The following is a 24,054-nucleotide window of genomic DNA, read 5'->3' as shown; positions in this document are numbered from 1 at the left end:
GAAATAAATATAAAGGCAAAACTAACGAGATCAGTTTTGGAAAAGTATAGAGTATGAGATGCTTATAAGACATCTAAGTGGAAAAATCAGATAGGCAGCTGAATATCCCGTGCTTGCATTATAATTCCTTTACAGCATTATGACAAAGTGAAATTATTTAGTGTCAGCTTCCCCATTAAAGAGTAGGTACCATGTATTTTTATCCTTATTGCCTTAGCACCTAACCCAAGACATAAAACACAGCAAGCATTTGATAAAATGTTTTCTGAACAAATATTTGCTTCCAAAATACACCCCTCAAAAACATCTAATTTACTACTCCTTCAGTTTACATAGAAATATTTTACCCTTTCTGAAAACTGGAAATATTAACACATCTCATCCTCCAGAACTTCTCTCCTTTTTCACATAATCCCATAATTATCGATAGGAAGCTATCAATCTCAGGTTTGCATTCTCTTACCCGTCTCCCATAAGACCCTAATGGCTTCATTCAACATTCATTTATTAACTAAATTAGTTAACTAAATATTAATGCCAATGTCCAGTACACTAAGCTCAACAATGGGCTTACCAAAAGAGAGAAATACAGTGCATTTCTTAATGGAATTAGCTCTTCTTGGGCAAGGCGCAAATATATATACAGATACACCACAAGGCCATAACTATTTTAACAAATGTATAAATAAAATACTTTGGGGAAGAAAACAAGTACTTCCCTCTTCTTTGCAAGGAAAGACCTGGGAAAACTTCCTTAAGACCAAGGAGATGAGACAGAGGAAACTCCCAAAGGAGCTTTCTTGGCTCCTTCCCAGAAAGCCAGGTAATGTCTATAATTATTCTCCCTATAATAAAGTCCTTATCTAGACTTATCTGGGTAGTCTTCTTTTTGTTTTTTGTTTCTAAAGACGGGTTCTCACTATGTTGTCCCAGGTTGGTCTCAAATGCCTAGGCCCGAGCAATCCTCCAGCCTCAGACTCTCAGTAGCTGGGACTACAGGTGCATGCCACCACACTCGACTGAATAGATTTTTGATCCTCAAAAGTGTTTTAAATCACCAAATATTCGTTCGTTTGCTTGAAACAGAGTAGCACTTTGTCACTCAGGATGGAGTGCAGTGACATGATCTCAGCTCACTGCAACCTCCACCTCCCGTGTTCAAGTAATTCTCCTGCCTCAGCCTCCCCAGTAGCCAAGATTACAGGCACACACCACCATGCCCAGCTAATTTTTGTAATTTTTTTTTTTTTTTTTTTTTTAGCAGAGATGGGGTTTCACCATGTTGGCCAGACTGGTCTCAAACTCTTGACCTCAAGTGATCCACCCGCCTCGGCCTCCCAAAGTGCTGGGATTACAGGCATGTGCCACCGCGCCCGGCCTAAATATTTGTTTTTTAAATATCTTGAAGATACATTTGCATATACGATAGAAACCAAAACGTTAGCAAAGCTACTTTGGGTGGTAGGATTAGGGTAACTTAGATCTTTCCCCTTTGGTGGTCTTTTTGTTTTCTTTTCCTTTTTGGGAGACAGGGTCTTGCTCTATCACCCAGGCTGGAGTGCAGCAGCGCAGTCATGGCAGCCTTGACCTCCCAGGCTCAAGTGATCCTCTCACTTCAGCCTTCCAAGTAGCTGACACCAAACATATGCACCACCACGCCCAGCTAATTTTTTTTTAATTTTTTTTGTAGAGAAGAGGATCTCACTGTGTTGCCGAGGCTTGTTTCGAACTTCTGGGCTCAAGTGATCCTCATGCCTCTGCCTCCCAAAGTGCTGGGAGCCTGGGGCCAGCCACCATGCCTAACCCTTTTCTTTTTTTTTGCGGGGGGGGGGGGGTTTGCTTTTGTTGCCCAGGCTTGTTGTCCAGACTGGAGCGCAATGGCACAATTTCGGCTCACTGCAACTTCCGCCTCCTGGGTTCAAACGATTCTCCTGTCTCAGCCTCTTGAGTAGCTAGAATTACAGGCACAATCCACCACGCCCGGCTAACTTTGTATTTTTAGTAGAGGTGGGGTTTCATCATGTTGGCCAGGCTGGTCTCAAACTCCTGACCTCAGGTGATCTGCCCACCTCGGCCTCCCAAAGTGCTGGGATTACAGGCATGAGCCACCACGCCCAGCCCATACCTAACCCTTTTCTTTTTCCTCTTGTACTGTTTCCTCCAGATTTTCTAGAATAAGTGTGTTTATTTTGTTAATGAAACTAACAACAAAAAAACTCTAAAAGACCTAAATCTAAGGAGTTTAGCACCAAAAAAATTATCAAGACGGTGCTTAGTGTTTTGTCAAGAGCAAACACACAGGAGATGACAATTCAATTCATAAAATCCTTCTAGTGGTCAAACTGTCCATATATCATCCAAAGCCTTAAAAATAAAACTTTTGATTTAATAATTCCACTTCCAAGAAATTAATCCAAATAAAATGATCAGTGATAAAAACAAAATTGTTCAAGGGTATATATACATATCATTTACAATAGCAAAACATTAAAAACAACTTTACTTTCCAACAATTCATTCATCCATTTAATAAATATTTATTCAGTACCTATGTGCCAGGCACTGGAGATACAGCAGTAAACAAACTGTACAAAAATCTATATCAAAGTACCTGCCCTCAATGGAGCTCACAGTCTAGTGGGGGTTGAAAGACAGGATATAGACAATAAAATAAATATGTAAAATATTTGTCATGTTACATTTTGATACACAACATGAAGAAAAATTAAGCAAGGAAGAGAGATAGGGAGTAAAGGGTGGAGGGTTATATAGATTGTCAGGAAAGGTCTAAGGTGGCAGCATTTGAGGAAAGGCTTAAAGAAAGACACTATTGCTTTATATGTAGACAGGATATACTTGGCATTGAATGTATCATACCCTTTTAAACTGCTCTGATGATAATGCAATATACTTTTTTATTCTAAGTAGAAAAATAATCTAAGACCTAATGATTCCACAGACCTTAAAAAGTTCAAGCCTTGGCCGGGCGCAGTGGCTCATGCTTGCACTCCCAGCACTTTGGGAGGACAAGGTAGACGGATCACCTGAGGTCAGGAGTTCGAGACCAGCCTGGCCAACATGGTGAAACCCCGTCTCTACTAAAATTATAAAAATCAGCTGGGCGTGGTGGTGGGTGCCTGTAATCTCAGCTACTCAGGAGGTTGAGGGAGAAGAATCACTTGAACCCTGGAGGCAGAGGTTGCAGTGAGCTGAGATCATGCCACTGCACTCCAGCCTGGGCGACAGAGCGAGGCTGACTCCATCTCAAAAAAAAAAAAAAAAAAAAAAAGTTAAAGCTTACAGCCACTCATGGTCTGTTCCTACCAAAATTTTCAATTTTCTCCCATCTTCACAATTGTCCCCAGATACAAATAAATTGCTTCATTTTTAAGTATCCCTTATTGAACATGTTTTACATTATTCACAAAAATGATGACCTTAATAAACACCGTATCACTTAGTGCTTCTGTCTCATTTAGAGTTAATTGCACACTGGTTCGATGTTAACAATCTAAATCCTGATTCTCAAGTACCCTGGGCACAGCTCTTTACCTCAAGTTTCACAAAGAACGTCATACGTGAAGAAAAATTAGGTAGTACTCTCTACTCCTACTGCAACTTTCCAGCTCAGGATTACTTGGGTTACTTAAGGGCCTCATATACTCCCTTTGCCAGAAGGAATTTTGACAGATGATACAAATAGGGCACTATGCCTACTTACACCTGCATTCCTCAGTGCATCAGCATTTCAGATGACTAAGGGAATGCTCCTAAGCTCTAATGTCTGCAATTGTACAGATGTACAATTAGGTGAGGCTACTGTTTAAGGATGGAAATGGTGATTGCCCTCTGTTTAAGGCTACCTCAATTCAAATTTTATACAAAACACTGAGCCAATCAAGTGAAATACCATCAAACAAAACTTCAGAGTATCAATAAAAAGGAGGATGTGTAAGATACTATTGAAAGATGCTCAATACTACACTGAGATGACCTTGAGAACTCATGGTGTAGGGCAGGGGCCAGCAAACTGTCTCTCCAAAGGGCCAGAGAATTAATGTTTAGGCTCTGTGAACCAAATGGCCTGTCAACCCTGCCACTGTAGCATGAAAGCAGTCAGAAAATATGGAAGCAAATGGACGTCTCTGTCTTTCAATGAAACTTTACTTACAAAAACTTTACAGTCCCACAGGCCATAGTTTGCCAACCCATAATATTAGGCATCAAGCTAAATGTGTATTGATTCTAAAATATCATCAGTTTTTCTTTTCTCTGTTGTTGTGTCTAAATTCCTGGTGTTCCCTTTCTGTTACCTATAAACAGCAGGATGCTGAAAAAAACAACTTCCTTAAATTAGCTGACAATTTAAACCATGTTTTTATAAAGAAACAGACATGAGGGTATGTAAATATAAAAGAGAAGCAGTTACAAATTCTAGATAAAGGCGGATGAGTTGCACAAAAAATGGCTAAGAAAGTAACTTATATGAATTTAAATCCACCTGATAAAAGGAATTAAGGTAGAAATAAAGATGTAACTATAAGAATGTTCATTAAAAATATTTTTATAATGAAAAATCAAGAACAGCTTCTATATGTCACATCTAGAAGACTAGTTGAATAAATGATGGTACATCCATACAATGCAACCATTTAATACAACAGAAAATATTTATTGATTAAAAAAAGATGTTTCTGATTTGGTTATTTCTTTAAGCAGGCTACAAAACTGAAGGTACAGTATGATCCCATTTTTGTAAAAAATAAGTGTATATATACACAAATAAGCATACATAAAACCACCTGGAAAGATACACCAAGGTATTTACAGTGTGTACCATGGATGTTGAAATTATTTCTGGCTTACTAGTTATTTCTAATTTTTTTAGAAACATATTAATTTGATACTAAGAAAATCATTTTAAAAATATAAAGGAATAACTAAAACAAGTACAGCATTACTTAGGTTAACATGTTCTAAATAAACTCTCAAAATACAGGAGTTCCATCGGTTCTTAGAACTTCAAATAGTGATTTCTCCTCAGTCTCCAAATGCTGGCTATAAAGGTTAAGAAAACTTCGAGATTACATATATTAATAAAAAGAAATATTTCTAATAGGATAAGTTAATAAGACTCCTCAAATAGAGTTACTACAGGAAGTCTGCATCATTTATTGAACCACTCCCACCTGAACAACCAAGAGTTTAAGACACAAATCCAATTTATCTATTTTAGATACTACTTCTGATATTACCAAAGGGGTTGCCCGAGGTTTGAATAGAAAAAGTAATTATTATTATTGATGCCACTGAAGAGAGGATCTTCAATCACCAACTTTGGGGAAAAAGGAAGGAGGGGAGGGGGGGAAGCCACACTACAATGTGATGGATCTCAAAATTCCATGAGAATTCCATATTCGGGGTCCAAACACATCTGTAAGAGACTCAAAGGTCAATTAATCGTTATTATGTCCAATGCTAACTGAATCCTAGATAGGCTACTGTTAACAGCCAGTATAATACTGAACTACCTGCCTAGCCCATCTTTCAAATAATACTTCAATGAAAACTATTTCTCAAATCAATCTATGAACAGCAATGATAAAACAATGTAGCAGAAAACATACAGACATAAAAATGTTATAATTATACTTACATAAAATTGTATGTGCACCTAGACAACGACTCAAATAAAAAGAAAATAATTTTCTAGGGCGGGTGGGACTCCCGCCATCATTACATATATAACCAGACAAAGAAAAAAAATTTTAATTAAGTATAGAATACACTCATTTACCAAATATAATTTATTCCTGAACTAACACATTGTTTTCAGCGAGGCACATAAAGCAAAAGTTTCAAAAACATGCACATTTATAAACCACCTAGCACCTGTCAAATACTTTACTACTGTATTAGTCATCCAATATCAAAGAAGATGAGATTTTGAAAACTCACCATTCAGGCCCAAAGTTCAGTGTCTGCGTTTCCGCTGCCATTCTTTTCCGTATTTTTACAATAGATTTTTATATGTGAAGAAACCTGTTAACGAGAAAAATATCTCCATACTATTAGTTGAGATTAAATGTGGAATTCCAGGCCAGAAAGTACAGTTAGAGAGTGTTTTATTTATGCTCCTCTCAACTAGAGTCACAAAAATGAGATTTTGAAATTCCTACTTAAAACAATAATATAGCAGGCAAAGTGAAATGAATAAATCAACCCTTATATTCTGACTCCCCACCTTTCTATGTTAATCTGGGGTAAGGAGGCACAGTTTAAGATGAAGCTAGTGAGAGAGGTAGGAACAGACCACACAGGGCATTGGAGACTAAGTTAAGGATTTTCTCCCTTTATCCCTGGAACAATGGGGAGTGAATGAAAGGTAATAGATTTACATTTTAGTTCATATTACTTCCTAGTAATGACTCCCCTATCACCATGAGGTACATCAAAGATTATTAAAATAAGGACCCTCCTTACCTATCACATAGCTTCTGCCACAACTCTCCTCACCTTCTGCTTATTAGCACTTTACACCCTAGTGATTTTTTTTTAACAGACAGTGTGTATCACTATGTTGCTCAAGCTGGTCTCGAACTCTTGGCCTGACCTCAAGTGATCTTCCTGTCTCAGCCTCTCGAGCCTACTGCTTCTTTTAAAAATTATCTTGGATCAGGCCAGGAACCACCAGGCAAGGTGGCTCATACCTGTAAATCCAGCGCTTTGGGAGGCCAAGATGGGAGAATCGTTGGAGCCCAGGAGGTGGAGACGTGGTCTCTAAAAAAAAGAAATGTTAAAGATCAACTGGGCATGGTGGTACATGCCTGTAGTCTTAGCTGCCTGGGAGGGTGAGGTGGAGGGATCACTTGAGCCCAGGAGTTTGGGGCTGCAGTGAGTTGTGGTCCTGCCACTGCACTCCAGCCTAGACGATGGAGTGAGACCCTGTCTCTACAAAATAAACAAATAAAAATAAATTTATAATTTGGGAGGCCAAGCCAGGCAGACGGCTTGGGCCCAGGAGTTCAAGACTGGATTGGGCAACATAGTGAGACTCCATCTCTTTAAAAAAAAAAAAAAAAAAAAAGTTTTAAAATAAATAAATAAAATATAAATTTTTTAAAAGTTGCTTCAGATTGTCAAGTTAAAATAATAAACTAATGAATTTCACAAGTGACATTTCAAAAGTAATCTTAAGATATGAGAGCTTAAAAAAATGGAAAATACTATAAAAATTGTAAATATAACTGGCCCTCCATATCCATGGGTTCTGGTTCATGGATTCAACCAACCTCGGATGGAAAAAAATTTTTTAATTGCGTCTGTACCAACATGTATAGACACTTCTTTTCCTTGTCATTGTTCCCTAAACAATACAGCAGAACAACTATTTACACAGCATTTATGTTGTATTAAGCATTATAAGTAATCTAGAGGTGTTAAAGTATATAGAAGTATGTACATAGGTTATACGCAAACACTATGCCATTTTACATTAGGGACTTGAGCATCCAAGGATTTTAACATCTGAAGGACATCCTAGAATGAATCCCCATGGATACTGAGGGACAACTGTATACTGTAAAATATCTCTAAGATACATCACACACGGCACTGGGGACCAAGTTAAGGATTCTCTCCCTTTATCACCCTGTTGCCTCTGTTTAAATGATCTAAAAAATAATAAACTACAAATATGTCTAAAGCTTAGAAACAGCAAAGTAAAAGTGTGTTAACCTTCATAATCAGCTATTCATTTATCTGCCTTCCTTCTGAAAGGTACTTCCAGCCCTGTGTCAACCAAGCAGACTCCAAGGGAGATTATCCTGTTCTTACTTGACCCTGACTCCCTGCTCCCCCACCACACAAAAGGTGCAAACCAGACTAAAACTGAGGTAAACTTAGTCCCCTCCTCATCACTTTTTTTTTTTTTTTTTTTGAGACAAGAGTCTCGCTCTGTCGCCCAGGCTGGAGTACAGTGGCGCGATCACGGCTCACTGTAAGCTCCGCCTCCCGGGTTCACACCATTCTCCTGCCTCAGCCTCCCGAGTAGCTGGGACTACAGGCACGTGCCACCACACCCGGCTAATATTTTTGTATTTTTAGTAGAGACAAGGTTTCACCATGTTAGCCAGGATGGTCTTGATCTCCTGACCTCGTGATCAGCCTGCCTAGGTCTCCCAAAGTGCTGGGATTACAGGCGTGAGCCACTGCGCCCCGCCCCTCCTCATCTCTTAAAACAACTAGTGATTCAAAGAAAACATAACTGCCGAGCATGGTGGCTCATACCTGTAATCCCAGCACTTTGGGAGGCCAAGGTGGGTGGATCGCTTGAGCCCGGAAGTTCAAGACCAGCCTGGGCAACATGGCAAAACCCTGTCTCCACAAAAATATATAAAAATTAGCTGGGCATGATGGTGCGAGCCTGTAGTCCCAGCTGAGGTGGGAGGATCACTTATGCTGTGGAGCTTGAGACTACAATGAGTCGTGATTGCACCACTGCACTCCAGCCTGGGCAACAGAGCAAGACCTTGTCTCAATTAAAAAAAAAAAAAATTAAAAAAATTAAAATAAAAAAGAAAACACTATTTTTAACATTTTAATTTCTCTGAAATTAGAATGCATCTTAAAACTGATGCCAAGTTACAACTGCTACTGGCTGGGTGCGAGTTGTGTTACAGCTGTCTGAACAAGGGCCAATTTTTTAAACCGCTGTTTTAAATGTCTTCAAAATAATATGATTCTGTATCAAAACTAAATTTATTGTATAACAGAAAAGAAGCAAATACAGCCATGGAGTATTAGTGAAGTAACTATTCATCATTCAAAGAATGATTCCAAGTGATTTACAGGACCTCAGAAAGAAAGGGGGGAAAAACACACAAGCCAATGGAGTCTGTTATGGTTTGCTACCGATACTGATGACACTGCACAACCCATATGACCACATGCAGCAGCCCTGAAGTACTAAAAGGGATTAAAAATTAAATAGCTTATATTGCTCTTAAAATCTTCACAAGCATCAAACGACTAAATTTTAAATTGATGACAGAGTAATAGAGAATTCCCTTAACTACTGCATCACCAATACTTTGCATGACTGGTGGGGAGAGGGAGGAAGAAAGCAGGAGACTTCTATGATGCCAAGTTGAAAAGTGATTTAGAAAAGTCAGACTCTAAATACCCAGAAATCTTACGACTATCTTAACAAATTTATTTTACTTCTATTTTCATTTTCATACATGCAATAGAAGGATACACTGTTTAATAAAAATCCATTCTTATTTGCTAAATAAGTTTAACAGAGCTTTTTTAAAAAATATAAAATAATTCTAACAAGAAAAGCCTGTGCCAGATGTGCCGGAGCCTTCTTGGCAGTATTCCTTTCTTTCTCAGTAATGCACAAAATGATTAATCTTATAGTTGACACATGTTAGATTCAATTAAAATTATGGTACATTCCAAATGAATGACTTGTCAAGGTAGCAATGATCAGACCCCAGGAAAGGTGCCCACTGTTAAACTAAAACAGGCATCACTGCTTACACAACAGTCTTATGACTTTTTGTAACATAAATCAATTCAGTGTGTTTTCTAAAAGTATGTGGACCTACTTGGATGACAAACAGAGATGAAGAGACTACATCAACTAGAGCTGTAGAGACCACATCAATTGTAAGGTTTTTCTTTAATACTAAACATCCTGAAGGAGCGGTTTTACCACCATTTTAAGCCCCATCTAGCCAAATGTTTTAAACTCAAACCCGTAGAGGATTTTAGAGCATTGAATAATGGCTCTGCATTTATAAAGCAAGTCAGGATTTAAATCAGACTGAATTTATAAAGCAGGTAAATCTCAACTAAAATTCAAAGTATTTGCTATTTGTGAAAATACTAAATTCATTGTTAGTGATTTAATTTTTTCCCCTTTAACTTACTACAAGGCCATCACATATGCTCACATAGGTTCTGGAAGTACAAAACTCCAGGGTCACTATTAACACAAATGATACAGATGGAGCTCCTACAGGCAGCAGTCTTGAAATATAAACGAAGCCCCAGATTCAAGCAGCATCTAAGGAACAACAACAAGCAAGGAAATTCTGTTTGGGTCCACTTTATCATTGCACCTATAAATCTTTGAGTACTACAAAACTACTACAATGTACAACCATTAAGAGCTCAGAAGATTTTTTAATGTCTTGAGCTGGGAACCCAACTACCATTTACAACATGGTTTCTGTAAGAAAATTATTTCCTAATGTAAAGATTTCTTTTTTTTTTTTTTTTTTTTTTTTTGAGACGGAGTCTCGCTCTGTCGCCCAGGCTGGAGTGCAGTGGCGGGATCTCGGCTCACTGCAAGCTCCGCCTCCCGGGTTCACGCCATTCTCCTGCCTCAGCCTCCCAAGTAGCTGGGACTACAGGCGCCCGCCACTACGCCCGGCTAATTTTTTGTATTTTTAGTAGAGACGGGGTTTCACCATTTTAGCCGGGATGGTCTCGATCTCCTGACCTCGTGATCCGCCCGCCTCGGCCTCCCAAAGTGCTGGGATTACAGGCGTGAGCCACCGCGCCCGGCCTTTTTTTTTTTTAAGACTGAGTCTCGCTCTACTGCCCAGGCTGGAGTGCAGTGGCATGATCTTGGCTCACTGCAACCTTCGTCTCCCAGGTTCAAGTGATTGTCCTGCCTCAGCCTCCTGAGTGGCTGGGATTACATGCATGCACCACCACACCCAGCTAATTGTTGTATTTTCAGTAGAGACGGGGTTTCACCATGTTGGCCAGGCTGGTCTCGAACTCCCAACCTTAAATGATCCACCTGCCTCGGCCTCCCAAAGTGCTGGGACTACAGGCGTGAGCCACTGCACCCGGCCCCTAAAGTAAAGATTTCTGAAGAACTCTTAAAAACCTAAGAATATTTTTTTCCTCTTTCAGCACAGGGTGCCCACAACTTGAGCTCTTTCTGCTGCTCCTCAGCTCTCAGGTACAGCTGATGCCATGGATTTCAGAGACCTGAAAAGCCCTGCCGGCCTCCAGGTGCTCAACAATTACCTGGCGGACAAGAGCTACATCGAGGGGTATGTGCCATCACAAGCAGATGTGGCAGTATTTGAAGCAGCATCTGGCCCACCGCCTGCTGACTTGTGTTATGCCCTTCGTTGGTATAATCACATCAAGTCTTACGAAAAAGAAAAGGCCAGCCTTCCAGGAGTGAAGAAGGCTTTGGTCAAGTATGGTCCTGTGGATATGGAAGACACTATAGGAAGAGGAGCTAAAGATAGTAAAGATGATGATGACATTGATCTCTTTGGAGCTGATGGGAGGAGAAAAGTGAAGAAACGAAGAGGCTAAGGGAAGAACACCTTCCACAATATGAATCGAAGAAAGCCAAAAAACCTGCACTCGTTGCCAAGTCTTCCATCTTATAGATGTGAAACCTTGGGATGATAAGACAGATATGGCAAAATTAGAGGAGTGCATCAGAGGCATTCAAGCAGATGGCTTAGTCTGGGGCTCATCTAAACTAGTTCAAGTGGGATACAGAATTAAGAAACTTCAAATACGTTGTGAAGTTGAAGATGATAAAGTTGGAACAGATAAGCTGGAGAAGCAGATCACTGCTTTTGAAGACTATGTGCAGTCCATGGATGTGGCTGCTTTCAACAAAATCTAAAATCCATCCTGGGTCATGGCATTTAAATAAAAGCTTGAGAGGTTAATTAAAAAAAAAAACCTAAAAATAATAAACCAAGTTATTTAATTATCAAATAAAGAGACCTGCATTACTCAGAACAGTGTTCTGCTCATTCTTCTTTATGATTCAAAGCAGCTTAGGGCAACATTTAAACCCCAGCTATCCAAATGTTTTCAGCTCAAACGCCTAGAAGACTTGTAACCTTTAGAAAACAGCTCTGGAGGCCGGATGCAGTGCCTCACACCTGTAATCTCAGCACTTTGGGAAGCTGAGGCATGCAGATCACTTGAGCTCAGAAGTTCAAGAACAGTCTGGACAACATGACAAAAACCTCATCTCTACACAAAATACAAAAGTTAGTCACGCGTGGTGGTATGCTCCTGCAGTCCAAGCTACTTGGGAGGCTGAGGTGGGAGGACTGCTTGAGCCCAGGAGGTCGAGACTGCAGTGAGCCTTGTTCACACCACTGCCCTCCAGCCTGGGCAACAGAGCCAGACCCAGTAAGGAAAATGAAAAGAAAAAGAGAAGGGAAAGGGAAAAGGAAAGAGAAAAGGAAAAGGAAAAGGAAAAGGAAAGGTCTCTGAGTTTATAAAGCAATTCAGGATTTGAACCAGACTCTGGACACTCTGCTCCATCATGCTATCCTGCCTCTGTAGACTGTTTTTTGTTGAAACTATGACCTCCCTTTTCCTCCATTACCAGCACTATCCTGGTATTTCTTTGCCCATCTTTATTTCCCTCTAAATTACGGAATGGCAAAGAGGGCATGCAGAGAGTAGGGGTGTCATTTTAACAACAGCAATTAAAACATCTGCCCACAAATTTGTAACCGGCCACTAGCTGGGAGAGATGATCCCACCCCTGCAATTAATTACAAATTTGATTTTTTTCTCCCATGACCAATGTGGCATGGGATCACTGACTGATCATATCATCAAGGCACTACTGTTTTCAGTTTACTGGTCAGCCAGTCTCAAAAGCCTAGATCATCTGAAACTCTCTCTACTCCATCCCTTATATCCATTCATTTTGTCTCAAATTTAGCCTACTTCTTCAAGATTCCTCTTTCATTATAGTCCAAACTCTATTAATGCATGTCTGGATTATTCTAACAAAAGTTCTTATTTGCTTCCCTGACTGGGCCTCAAGATCAATTTTCCTAAGGCACCTTTCTGATCATGGCCTACACTCCTCTAAAAAAGTCCAATCGAACCTACTATGTATCGTCAATCTGACAACCCATGCCTCCCTCCCCAACTCAATCTCCTATTGTTTCACCTCCCAACTCAAAGCCAAATGAGAACTTTCTACCGTCCACTGCATTTTCCTTCCTCTTTAGTTGTGCTATGACATACCCTTCCCCCAGAAGCCTGACCTCCCTCCCTTAGAATGGCTCATACAAAACCAAGGATCTATTCAAACACCTACTCCATAAAATAGTTCCCAAAGTAGTAAAAGCACTGCTCCCTCTGGAAGGGAAAATCTAAAACACAGGATACAGAAATGGAATGGAATCTATAGGACTCAATGTTGCGGGTATTTTTCAAATGTGTATTATAAAGCTTAAAAGGAAGCAGAAAACAGAAAAACGAATTTGGGGAGACAGATAACGAGGATGGTTTTGAACAAAGTAAGTGCAAGGTGCTTGACTGAGGAAGTATCCAAAAGACCTAGAGTTGAAGAGTAGTCAGAATAGAAAGACAGATTTAACGGAAGTGAATCCACAGAGTTACAATCAAAAATTGAATAAGGCTACCCCAAAGCAGAAATCTCAAGAAAGAACAGGAACAAAGCCTCAGCAATCACTGTACAGGCTGATACAGGAAGAAAGAGAAAGACCACAGAGGTAGAGATCTCTAGCCCAAACCCTTCACTAAACTCAAATTCACTGACTCTAGTTTTCTCCCCCTGAGGTACTATTCTCACCACATTCTCTGTAACTAAAATAGACCCATATTAACCTCCAAGTTCATAATTACTCTTGCCTCCCCGCTATTCCCATTTCCTGAGGTAAACATGTTAACAGCCTAGTGTGTATCCCTCCATACTTCACATTCAGACAAACATGTTCACATATATGTGGTGGGGAAAGGGGATTAGCTATTTGCTATTATAAAGCAAGAATCATACACTATACCTTATTCTGAGACAGGCAATTCTCTCAATATATTTGCATGGACAAACTTCTAATAAACAGATATAGAGTTAAGTTGCAGTTTTTAAAAGCTGTATGATGGGCCGGGCACAGTGGCTCATGTTGTAATCCCAGAACTTTGGGAGGCCAAGGAAGGTGAATCAAGTTGAGGCCAGGAGTTCAAGACCAGCCTGGCCAATATAGTGAAACCCTGTCTCTACTAAAAATACAAAAAATTAGCTGGGTGTGGTGGTGCACGCCTATAATCCCAGTTACTCAGGAAGCTGAGGCATGAGAATCATTTGATCCCTGGAGGCAGAGGCTACAGTGAGCTGACATCGTGCCACTGCACTCCAGCCTGGGCAACAGAGCAAGACTCTGCGCCCCCAAAAAAAAAGCAAGCTGTGTAACATTCCACAGAAATGGATGACCTTTACTTTTTTGCCTTTATGAACAATGCTGCAATAAACAACCTTTTATTCATATATTTATGCTTTTATCTCTACTAGACAGACTTGTAAAATCACAGTTGCTTAGTGCATAATGATTTCTTTATAGAAAATTGAAGTTCACCTAAGTGATAGTCCTCTAGAAAGAAGAACTAGAGGTATGGAGCGGGCAAGATCTATCTTCCACTGAGTTATCTTTTTGTACTTTCGAAATCTTGTCACGTATATTTTAAAATAAATTTTAACCTAGTAGAAATCTCAAATCCTCAAAAGCTATAGGACCTATTTAAAAACTAAAAAAACAAAAAACTCTCTTATTTATTTATTTTTTAACTTTTATATTTTTGAGACAGGGTCTCACTGTTACCCAGGCTGGACTTGAACTCCTCAGCTCAAGCAATCCTCCCACCTCAGCCTCCCCAGTGGCTGAAACTATAGGCATGCACCACTGTGGCTTATTTACTTTGCTCTTTTTAAAATTTTTAACAAAGGGTATTTGGCGGTGGGGAGAAGGGTGTGCTCCCATATGATTTTTTTTTTTTTTTTTTTTGAGACAGAGCCTTGCTCTGTCACTGGGGCTGGAGTGCAGTGGTGCGACAGCGGCTCACTGCAACCTCCGCCTCCCAGGTTCAAGCGAGTCTTCTGCCTCAGTCTCCCCAGTAGCTGGGATTACAGGCGCCGAACACCACACCCAGATAATTTTTGTATTTTTAGTAGAGGCAGGGTTTTGCATATTGGCCAGGCCAGTCCCAAACTCCTGACCTCAAGTGATCCACCCGCCTTGGCTTCCCAAAGTGGTGGATTACAGGTGGATTACAGGTGTGGGCCACGGCGCCCAGCCTCATCTTGCTTACCTTTTAAACTCCAAACTGCAAAAAGTTAAAAAGCCATTACTACTACTGGCCACCTGAAGGGCTGGCCAAAGGATCCATGTCCTGAGCTCTCCCGGTCTCCAAACTTTTACAAGTAGCCCCAACCTCTTCTACAGAATAACACACTTCATATACAGAAATATATAAATAAGGGTAGATTTTCTAAACAAAATCCCATGAAATATTTTCTTTGATCCAACATAACAATCTAATGGATACTGCTAATATTATCTGGTAACCCCTAACCAGATTACTTGGATGCATTATGAACAAGGAATACGATAACTCCTGCCCTCAAGGCGCCAGTCTAATAAAAAAACAATGAGTACCATGTGATAAGGACTACAATGAACTATGCGAAGTAAGCTCTGGGAATACTGGGAAGATTATCCTAAAATGAGAAGCATAACACTGAAGATCTGTTGAATTATAATATTTGCTAGCATTTATTGAGAGCTAACTATGTGCTTACTAAGAGTTCAAAGTGCTTCATATGTATTCGCTTAATTTGACATAGATTCTTTGGCCCAATTTTGTAGATGAGGAAATGAGGCACAGAGAAAAGTTAAGCAGCTCACACAAGGTCAAACCTGTATTATAAGGACTCCAAAAACCATATACTAAGAATGAGGCAGTCTTTAAGGATAAAGGGGGACAGGGGGAGGTGCAGGAAAGGGTAAAGAAGAAAGACCTAGGATCTTTTGGAAGATAATCAATTTGTTCAACAGGCTAAAAAACTAATGTGAAGATTGGTAAAGCAGTGGCTACATCACAAAAGTCTTTGCATTTCATATTCCAAGGGAAATGAAAGGTTATGAAAAGACTTGGGCAGGAAAGTTTCCAGGACAAAATTTGTACTTTAGAAAGATGACTGAGGATAGTTACCTGGAGGAGAATGAATTCAATCTAGTAGGGAAGAGTAAGATGATGAGTAACTAAACTTCACCGACATGAAAGGTTACCAACAACATATTAAGTGTTCAAGACAAGTTACAGAATACAGAGAATATGATTATATTTAAAATATTTTAAAATACACTGGATATATATAGATATGCCCCAAAATGTTAATACTTCTAAGTGGTAGGATTATGGATAATTCTCTTTTCCTATTAAGTTTCTAATTTGTGCATACAACAAAGATGGTAGTGGTACATTTTTTTTAAGGGAAGTATTTGAAAGTTTCAAATATTAGGCCAGGTGCCGTGGCTCACGCCTGTAATCCCAAAGCTTTAGGAGACTGAGGCAGGAGGATTACTCGAGGTCAGAAGTTTGAGATCAGCCTACGCAACATAGTGAGAGCTCATCTCTACAAAAAAATAAAATTTTAATTAGCCAGGTATGGTGGTACTTGCCTTAGTCCCAGCTACTTGGGAGGCTGAGGTGGGAGGATGGTTTGAGCCTAGATCAGGGCTCCAGTGAGTTACGATAGCACCACTGCACTCTAGCCTGGGTGACAGAGCGAGACAGTCTCTAAAAGGAAAAAAAAAATGTTTCAGATATTTAAGCCAAAAAAGAGAAAGACTGAAAATTCTTCATTGGCTTCGAAAACTAACTTATTGATGATCTGAAGAATGCAGTTAGGAGTGCCGTGGGGACAAAGCCAGATTTCAATGGAGTGAGGCATGACTGGGAGGTGAGAAGGGAAGACCACAAATGCAGTCAACTCTTTCAGGAATCTTACATGTGAGGCCAGCACAGTTGCTCACACCTGCAATCCCAGCACGTTAGGAGGCCAAGATGGGTGGATCACTTGAGGTCAGGTGTTCAAGACCAGCCTGGCCAACATGGTGAAACCCCGTCTCTACTAAAAATACAAAAAAAAAAAAAAAAAAAAAATAGCCAGGTGTGGCAGCGGGCGCCTGTTAATCTCAGCTACTCAGAAGGCTGAGGCAGGAGAATCACTTGAACCCGGAAGGCAGAGGTTGCTGTGAGCTGAGATCACACCACTGCACTCCAGCCTGGGTGACAGAGCAAGACTCCATCTCAAAAATAAGAATCTTAGCTGTGGAAGGCTGGGCGCAGTGGCTCATACCCGTAATCCCAGCACTTTCGGAGGCCGAGGCAGGCGTATCACCTGAGGTCGGGAATTCGAGACCAGCCTAACATGGAGAAACCCCGTCTCTACTGAAAATACAAAAAATTAGCCAGGCGTGGTGGCAAAAGCCTGCAAAAGCCTCCAGCTACTCAGGAGGCTGAGGCAGGAGAATCACTTGAACCCGGGAGGCGGAGGTTGCGGTGAGCCGAGATCGTGCTACTGCACTCCAGCCTGGGCAACAAGAGCGAAACTCCATCTCAAAAAAAAAAAAAAAAAAAAAAGGCCGGGCACAGTGGCTCACACCTGTAATCCCAGCACTTTGGAGGCCAAAGCAGGTGGATCACGAGGTCAGGCGTTCAAGACCAGCCTGGCCAATATGTTGAAACCCCCGTCTCTACTAAAAACACAAAAATTAGCTGGGCATGGTGGCGTGCACCTGTACTCCCAGCTACTCGGGAGGCTGAGGCAGAAGAATCGCTTGAACCCAGGGGGCGGGGTTGCAGTGAGCTGAGATCGTGCCACTGCACTCCAGCCTGGGTGACAGAGCGAGACTCTGTCTCAAAAAAAAAAAAAAAAGAAAAGAAAAGAATCTTAGCTGTGGAAGAGAGAAGAGAAAGAATGGAAAGAAAATTTCCATTTTTTTATTTTAGATATATTCCCAATGGAAAGTTACTAGCAGAGTCAAAAGGTGAATTTTAATAATTCAATAAAAATATTATGTAAATGAAATCTCTGAGAAGGCAGGAAGTATTAGGGTTTCACAGAACAAACAGAAACAAAAACTGCTCCTATCTACTTGTAACCAGAGGAAAGTAGATCCAAATGACTTAGAATGCTTCCAAGGTTATGTAGAGTTTTATTGAAGGGGGTAGGGGAATTTAAAAGGAAACTGAGGCCAAGCTAATGTCCATGCCAGGAATCCCAGCACTGACGCTGAGGTAGGCAGATTGCTTGAGCCCAGGAGTTTGAGACCAGGCTGGGAAACACAGCAAGATCCTGTCTCTACAAAACTTACATAAAAAATAATTTTAAAATAAACAAACCAACAAAAAAACAAAAATAAAGGAAACTGAGGGGAATTCATCAAACTGATGGCTTCAATCTTCTCAGAAAAGTAGGCAAATGACAGAGAAGATGATAAGGTAGGGTTTGAGGAAACTAAAGAAATTGATAGCTGCTGTGTTCTATGCTAGAGTTTGTTTGTTTTTTTTAAATAAACTTGAGAAATTATAGTTTAAAAAGCTACAAAGATAATACAGAAAGTACCGTCAGTTTCCCCTAATGTTAACAACTTACATTACACAATACTTTGTCAAAACTAAGAAACCAACATTGATACATCACTATTACCTATACTTCAGAGTTTATTCAGATTTCATCAGTTTTTCCAACAACATCCTTGTTCTGTGCCAGTCTCCAATTCAGGACACCTTGTTGCACTTAGCTACAGTATCTCTAAAGACCAATAAAGATAGAGAAGTGATATGGTTAGGGTTTGTGTCCCCACTCAAATCTCATCTTGAATTGTAATCCCTGTAAACCCCACGTGTCAAGGGAGAGACCAGGGGGAGGTAACTGAATCATGGGGGCGGTTTCCCCCATGCTGTTCTCATCAGATCTGATGGTTTTATAAGGGGCTCTTCCCGCTTCGGTTGGCACTTCTCTCTCCTGCTGCCTTGTGTAGAAGGTGCCTTGCTTCCCCTTCTCCTTCTGCCATGACTGTAACTTTCCTGCGGCCTCCCCAGCCATGAAAACCTGTGAGTCAATTAAACCTCTTTCTTTCATAAATTACCCAGTCTCAGGCAGTTCATTACAGCAATATGAAAATGGGCTAATACAAGAGGGAAGCTAATCTGCAAGGTGGTTGTGGGCTTCTTTCTCCAACTTAGCAGCCTGAGTATGGGGCAGAGAGCCCACAGGAAACCAGGGTTAGGGTTTTGTCAGCACGGTAAAGGGAAGAATAAGAAGGCAAAGTAGAGGGTGCTGGCAGAAGTGTGATTTAGACACTATGGGGAAGGGTGTAAAAACAGAAGAGAGTTGACAAATTTAAGATGTTGGTAATGCCAAAAAGCAAGTATAGTAGAAATAAAAATGAAAGCACTAGTAGAACTAGAGATGAAAGTAAAAGACAAGAAACCAGGAACATGGGAGGACCAGATGGATCAGCTACATAGACTCTAAAGTAACCTCAGGATAATGGCAGAGACAAAAATAGAAAAAACAATGAATCAAAGGGTAAGACCACAGGGTCCTTTTCTGATAATAAGGAAGGGAAGAGAGATGCATTGTCAAACAGCATGAACTTCAGAGGAAAGAGAGTTTTGCACAAAGATAGAGAAAAAATGGCTAACCTGACCGTGTATGATCTATCACCTAAACTAGAAAATGTGTGAAAGGATATTAAGGAACTGCATAAAGGAACAACAGCAAGCTAGGCAGAAGGGCCACCCTAATAAAGGAATAGAATGAGCCTGTGAATGGAGAAGGATGAAGACCCTGATTCTGCATCCTGACATACCATAGTGCAAGAAAACCTACTGCTAACCTCAGAGGGCTAAAGGAAAGGTAAGATTACCAGGGCAGATGGGCTTAAGTTACCACAAGAAAGCCAAAAAACATCTTATGAACACGAGGGAGAGGTTTAACACAAAAATAACATTTCAGAGAATTCAAGAGGAAAGCCTTAGGAATTAAACAAGAGATTTGGTCAAGGGAAGAAGAAACTCTGAGTGGTATGAAGATCAGATGGACTTTCATTCTGGACAATGACAGATGACAGGAATGCATGGCATAGTGGAATTGGCAGGTCTCAGGAATTCTGAGAGAACTTGTCCTCACATCTCTGAAAGACAGGGGCACTCAAACCTTTGAGGAAGGAGTCAGAAAAAGACAGTGCCTCTGAAGGAATGTGGGCAAAATATTGTTAGTTCTGAGACCACCCTATTAGCATATCTTTCTCATGCTGAAAGCAACTCTGACAGAGAAGATGATCGGGTTCTTCCCTCCCTCCTCTGGCCTTTTCTCTCTTTGGCTATTCCAACTCTAGGGATAAGGACTTCAAACAAGTAGGTCTATCACATATTTTAAAGACTTGACTTAAAAACAGCTGAGAGAGGCAGGGCACGGTGGCTCATGCCTGTAATCCCAGCACTTTGGGAGGCTGAGGTGGGCAGATCGATTGAGGCCAGGAGTTCGAAACCAGCCTGGCCAACATGGCAAAACCCCGTCTCTACTAAAAATACAAAAATTAGCTAGGCATGGTGGTTCATGCCTGTAATCCCAGCTATTCAGGAGGCTGAGGCAGGAGAACTGCTTGAACCTGAGAGGCAGAGGTTGCAGTAAGCTGAGATCACGCCATTGCACTCCAGCCTGGACAACAGAGTGAGCCTCCGTCTCAAACAAACAAACAAACAAACAAACAAAAATATATATATATATATATATTACACTGTTGGTAGGAGTGTAAACTAGTTTAACCATTGTGGAAGACAGTGTGGCAGTTCCTCAAGGATCTAGAACTAGAAATACTATTTGACCCAGCGATCCCATTACTGGGTATATACCCAAAGGATTATAAATCATGCTACTATAAAGACACATGCACACATATGTTTATTGTAGCACTATTCACAATAGCAAAGACTTGAAACCAACTCAAATGTCCATCATAGACTGGATTAAGAAAATGTGGCATATATACACCATGGAATACTATGCAGCCATAAAAAAGGATGAGTTCATGTCCTTTGCAGGGATACAGATGAAGCTGGAAACCACCATTCTGAGCAAACTATCACAAGGACAGAAAACCAAACACCACACATTCTCACTTACAGGTGGGAATTGAACAATGAGAACACTTGGACACAGGGTGGGGAACATCACACACTGGGGCCTGTCATAGGATGGGGGACTTGGGGAGGGATAGCATTAGGAGAAATACCTAATGTAAATGACAAGTTAATGGGTGCAGAAAACCAACATGGCACATGTACAACTATGTAACAAAACTGCAGGTTGTGCACATGTACAACTATGTAACAAAACTGCACGTTGTGCACATGTACCCTAGAACTTAATCTATAACAAAAAAAAAACAGCTGAGAGAATATTTCTACATAACTGCTTTTTCAGACTTTGTCCATTACTCAAAATTACACATAAGTGACTTCAAGTAATATATTCCTTATGCAATAATACCAATAAGCTGTCTTCTTCAATAAATTGTATCCTTGTACTTGACAGTGAATATTATATAAGCTAGACTTTTTGTCAACTTCTAAATAACTGAGCTAAATTTAGACCTCACTGTAAGTTATTTTATCTGATTATTAGTATAATTATTTTTCTTTTTCTCCCTATATTTTTCTATAATTTCCATGACTTCCTCTTTATTTTAACTATTCATCTCCTCTTTGGGACCTCATCTATCACTTTGTGGGCCTCTGAGTACATTTTCACAGGAGAAGAAAGAAAAGAAATCAACCTAGGTCCTTCTTATTGTTGAGTTTACAATAAAGAAAAGACAGACTCTGACCTCTCCCTCTTAGCCTACCATTTTCTTACAGCCTGGAACAGCCTAGAGGAACCAAGCAACTTCTGAGCTCAGGAAATCACTTTCAAAAAAAAGGTGACAAATCTACGTAGTAAGTCCCATGTGGGTAAAATCAGCAAGGAGAAGCCAAAGTAGGTGCTGAGTCAGATTCCAGCACAGTGTCTGATACTTAACTTTGACAGTGTTCCCGAATACTGCTTTCCAGAAGTCTTGAAGACAGATTAGCTACCACCACTATTCCACTAAGAACTCAAAACATACACATCTTTGAAAACCCCCTGGATCTTTGTTATAAAAATTATGTGGCCGGCACGGTGGCTCTCACCTGTAATCCCATCTACTCGGGAGGCTGAGGCAGAAGAATTGCTCGAAGGCAGAGTTTGCAGTGAGCCGAGATCACGCCACTGTGCTCCAGCCTGGGCAACAAAGCGAGACTCCGTCTCAAAAAAAAAAAAAAGTGCTACTACAAATCTCTATTTCCTAGCTATGCAAAACTTACCCAGAAAAAATATGGCAAAATTTGGGATGGAGTCCAGCCAGTACTATGTATAGTCTGCCACAAAACTAACACAGAATGAATACCAAGGAACCTGAATCTGCCCCCATTCCCACTGCCTACCTACGTTTTTCCAAAAGCAGAAAAAAGACCAACTCCTCTAGCACTCTCCACATATACTAAACGAATCAGTAGTTCTGTCCCCACCACAGCAGCCAGCAATTTTTAGTTTAGCCAGATCTGGATTAAGATAACACAAGATTAATAACTTTATTAGTGCAAATTAGTTCAACTACTTCAAAAAGAATTGGCAATATCCATTAAATCTAAACTGTATGCCTACCCTGTGATCCCATAACAAACTGCTACACATACATCCAAGGAAACTGAAGTTATATTTCTACCAAAAGACAAGAGATTCATAGTAGCTTTATTTATAATTGTCAAAAACTGACATTTGGGTATTATGTCCATCAATGTAAATGTACATCAACAGGCAAACCAATCTGCAGTATACTCATATAATGAAATATTACTCAGCAGTTTAAAAAAAGGAACTAGTCAGGTGCGGTGGCTCATGCCTATAATCCCAGCACTGTGGGAGGCTAAGGTGAGTGGATCGCGTGAGGTCAGGAGTTCGAGACCAGCCTGACCAACAACGGTGAAACCCTGTCTCTACTTAAATTACAAAAATTAGCTGGGCATGGTGGTGGGCGCCTGTAATCCTAGCTACTTGGGAGGCTGAGACAGGAGAACAGCTTGAACCTGGGAGGTGGAGGTTGCAGTGAGGCTGCAGTGAGCCAAGATCTTGCCACTGCACTGCAGCTTGGCAACAGAGTGAGAATTCGTCTCAAAAAACAAACAACAACAACAAAAAAAATTACTGATATTCACAATGATACTGCGAAATCACCCAGATATCATGTTTAGAAAAACAAGCTGGCTAGAAAAAAATATATACTGTATGATTCCTTTTATGTGATGTTCAAGAAGAGTACTATGGTTTGGGTATATGACCCCTGCAAATCTCATGTTGAAATCTGATCACAGATGCTGGAGGTGAGGTCTAATGGGAGGTGTCTGGATTATGGGCAGATCCCTCATGAATGCCTTGGTGCCACTCTCACAGTAATGAGTGAGTCCTTACTTGATTTGTTCCCAAGAGAGCTAGTTGTTAAAAACAGCCTGACACCTCCCTCCTCTCTCTCTCTCTTGCTCCCCTCACCATGAGATCTACACACACTGGCTCCCCTTTGCTTTCCACTATGAGTGTAAGCAGCCTGAAGCCCTCACCAGAAGCAGATGTTTCTTGTACCGCCTACAGAACCATGAGCCAAATAAACCTCTTTTCTTTATAAATCACCCAGTCTCAGGTATTCCTTTATAGCAACACAAACAGACTAAGACAAATAGATAATAAATGGTGATAGATGTCAGGAAAGTACTCATCATGGGAAGAGGAGACTACTAAACAGGAAGGAGAGGGAATTGGAGTGCTGGAAAAGTTCACTATCATGATCTAAGTGGTGACTACAAAAGTACATATACATGTATATGTACATGTAAAAATGTATTGAACTATAAACTTCACATTTGTGCATGTATTTACCATATTTTACCTATCAATTATTATTATTGTTTCTTAGAGACAGTGTCTCAACACTGTTGCCCAGGCTAGAGTGCAGGGCTGTGCCCATAGCCCACTGTAACCTCAAACTCCTGGGTTCAAATGATCCTCTTGCCTCAGCCTCCCAAAGCACTGGGATTACAGGTATGAGCTACTATGCCCAGCTCCAGTTGTGTTAAATAAATCAT

General features: G+C 40.5%; 1 protein-coding gene and 1 pseudogene across 8 annotated transcripts in view; one reads left to right on the top strand and one right to left on the bottom strand.

Annotated features, from left to right (window-relative positions):
* Positions 1 to 24,054, bottom strand: part of GIGYF2 (GRB10 interacting GYF protein 2) — a 163,275-nt gene that overhangs the window by 119,409 nt on the left and 19,812 nt on the right. For 3 of the 8 annotated variants that reach the window (NM_001103146.3, NM_001103147.2, NM_001103148.2), the window contains one exon: positions 5,959 to 6,042. In NM_001103146.3, coding sequence (NP_001096616.1) covers positions 5,959 to 5,999 — 41 coding nt within the window. In that variant the 5' untranslated portion in view covers positions 6,000 to 6,042. Of the gene's footprint in view, positions 1 to 4,548; positions 5,435 to 5,958; positions 6,043 to 6,710; positions 6,781 to 9,962; positions 10,076 to 16,505; positions 16,624 to 24,054 lie in introns of those variants that run through there. The other 5 variants (NR_103492.1, NM_015575.4, NR_103493.2 and 2 more) reach the window with 4 other exon arrangements.
* EEF1B2P7 (eukaryotic translation elongation factor 1 beta 2 pseudogene 7) lies at positions 10,921 to 11,719 on the top strand (annotated as a pseudogene).

Source organism: Homo sapiens, chromosome 2 (assembly GCF_000001405.40).
Source record: "Homo sapiens chromosome 2, GRCh38.p14 Primary Assembly".
NCBI lineage: Eukaryota > Metazoa > Chordata > Mammalia > Primates > Hominidae > Homo > Homo sapiens.
The sequence above is the reverse complement of the archived record's forward strand: the minus strand, read 5'-3'. Positions and strand labels throughout refer to the sequence as shown.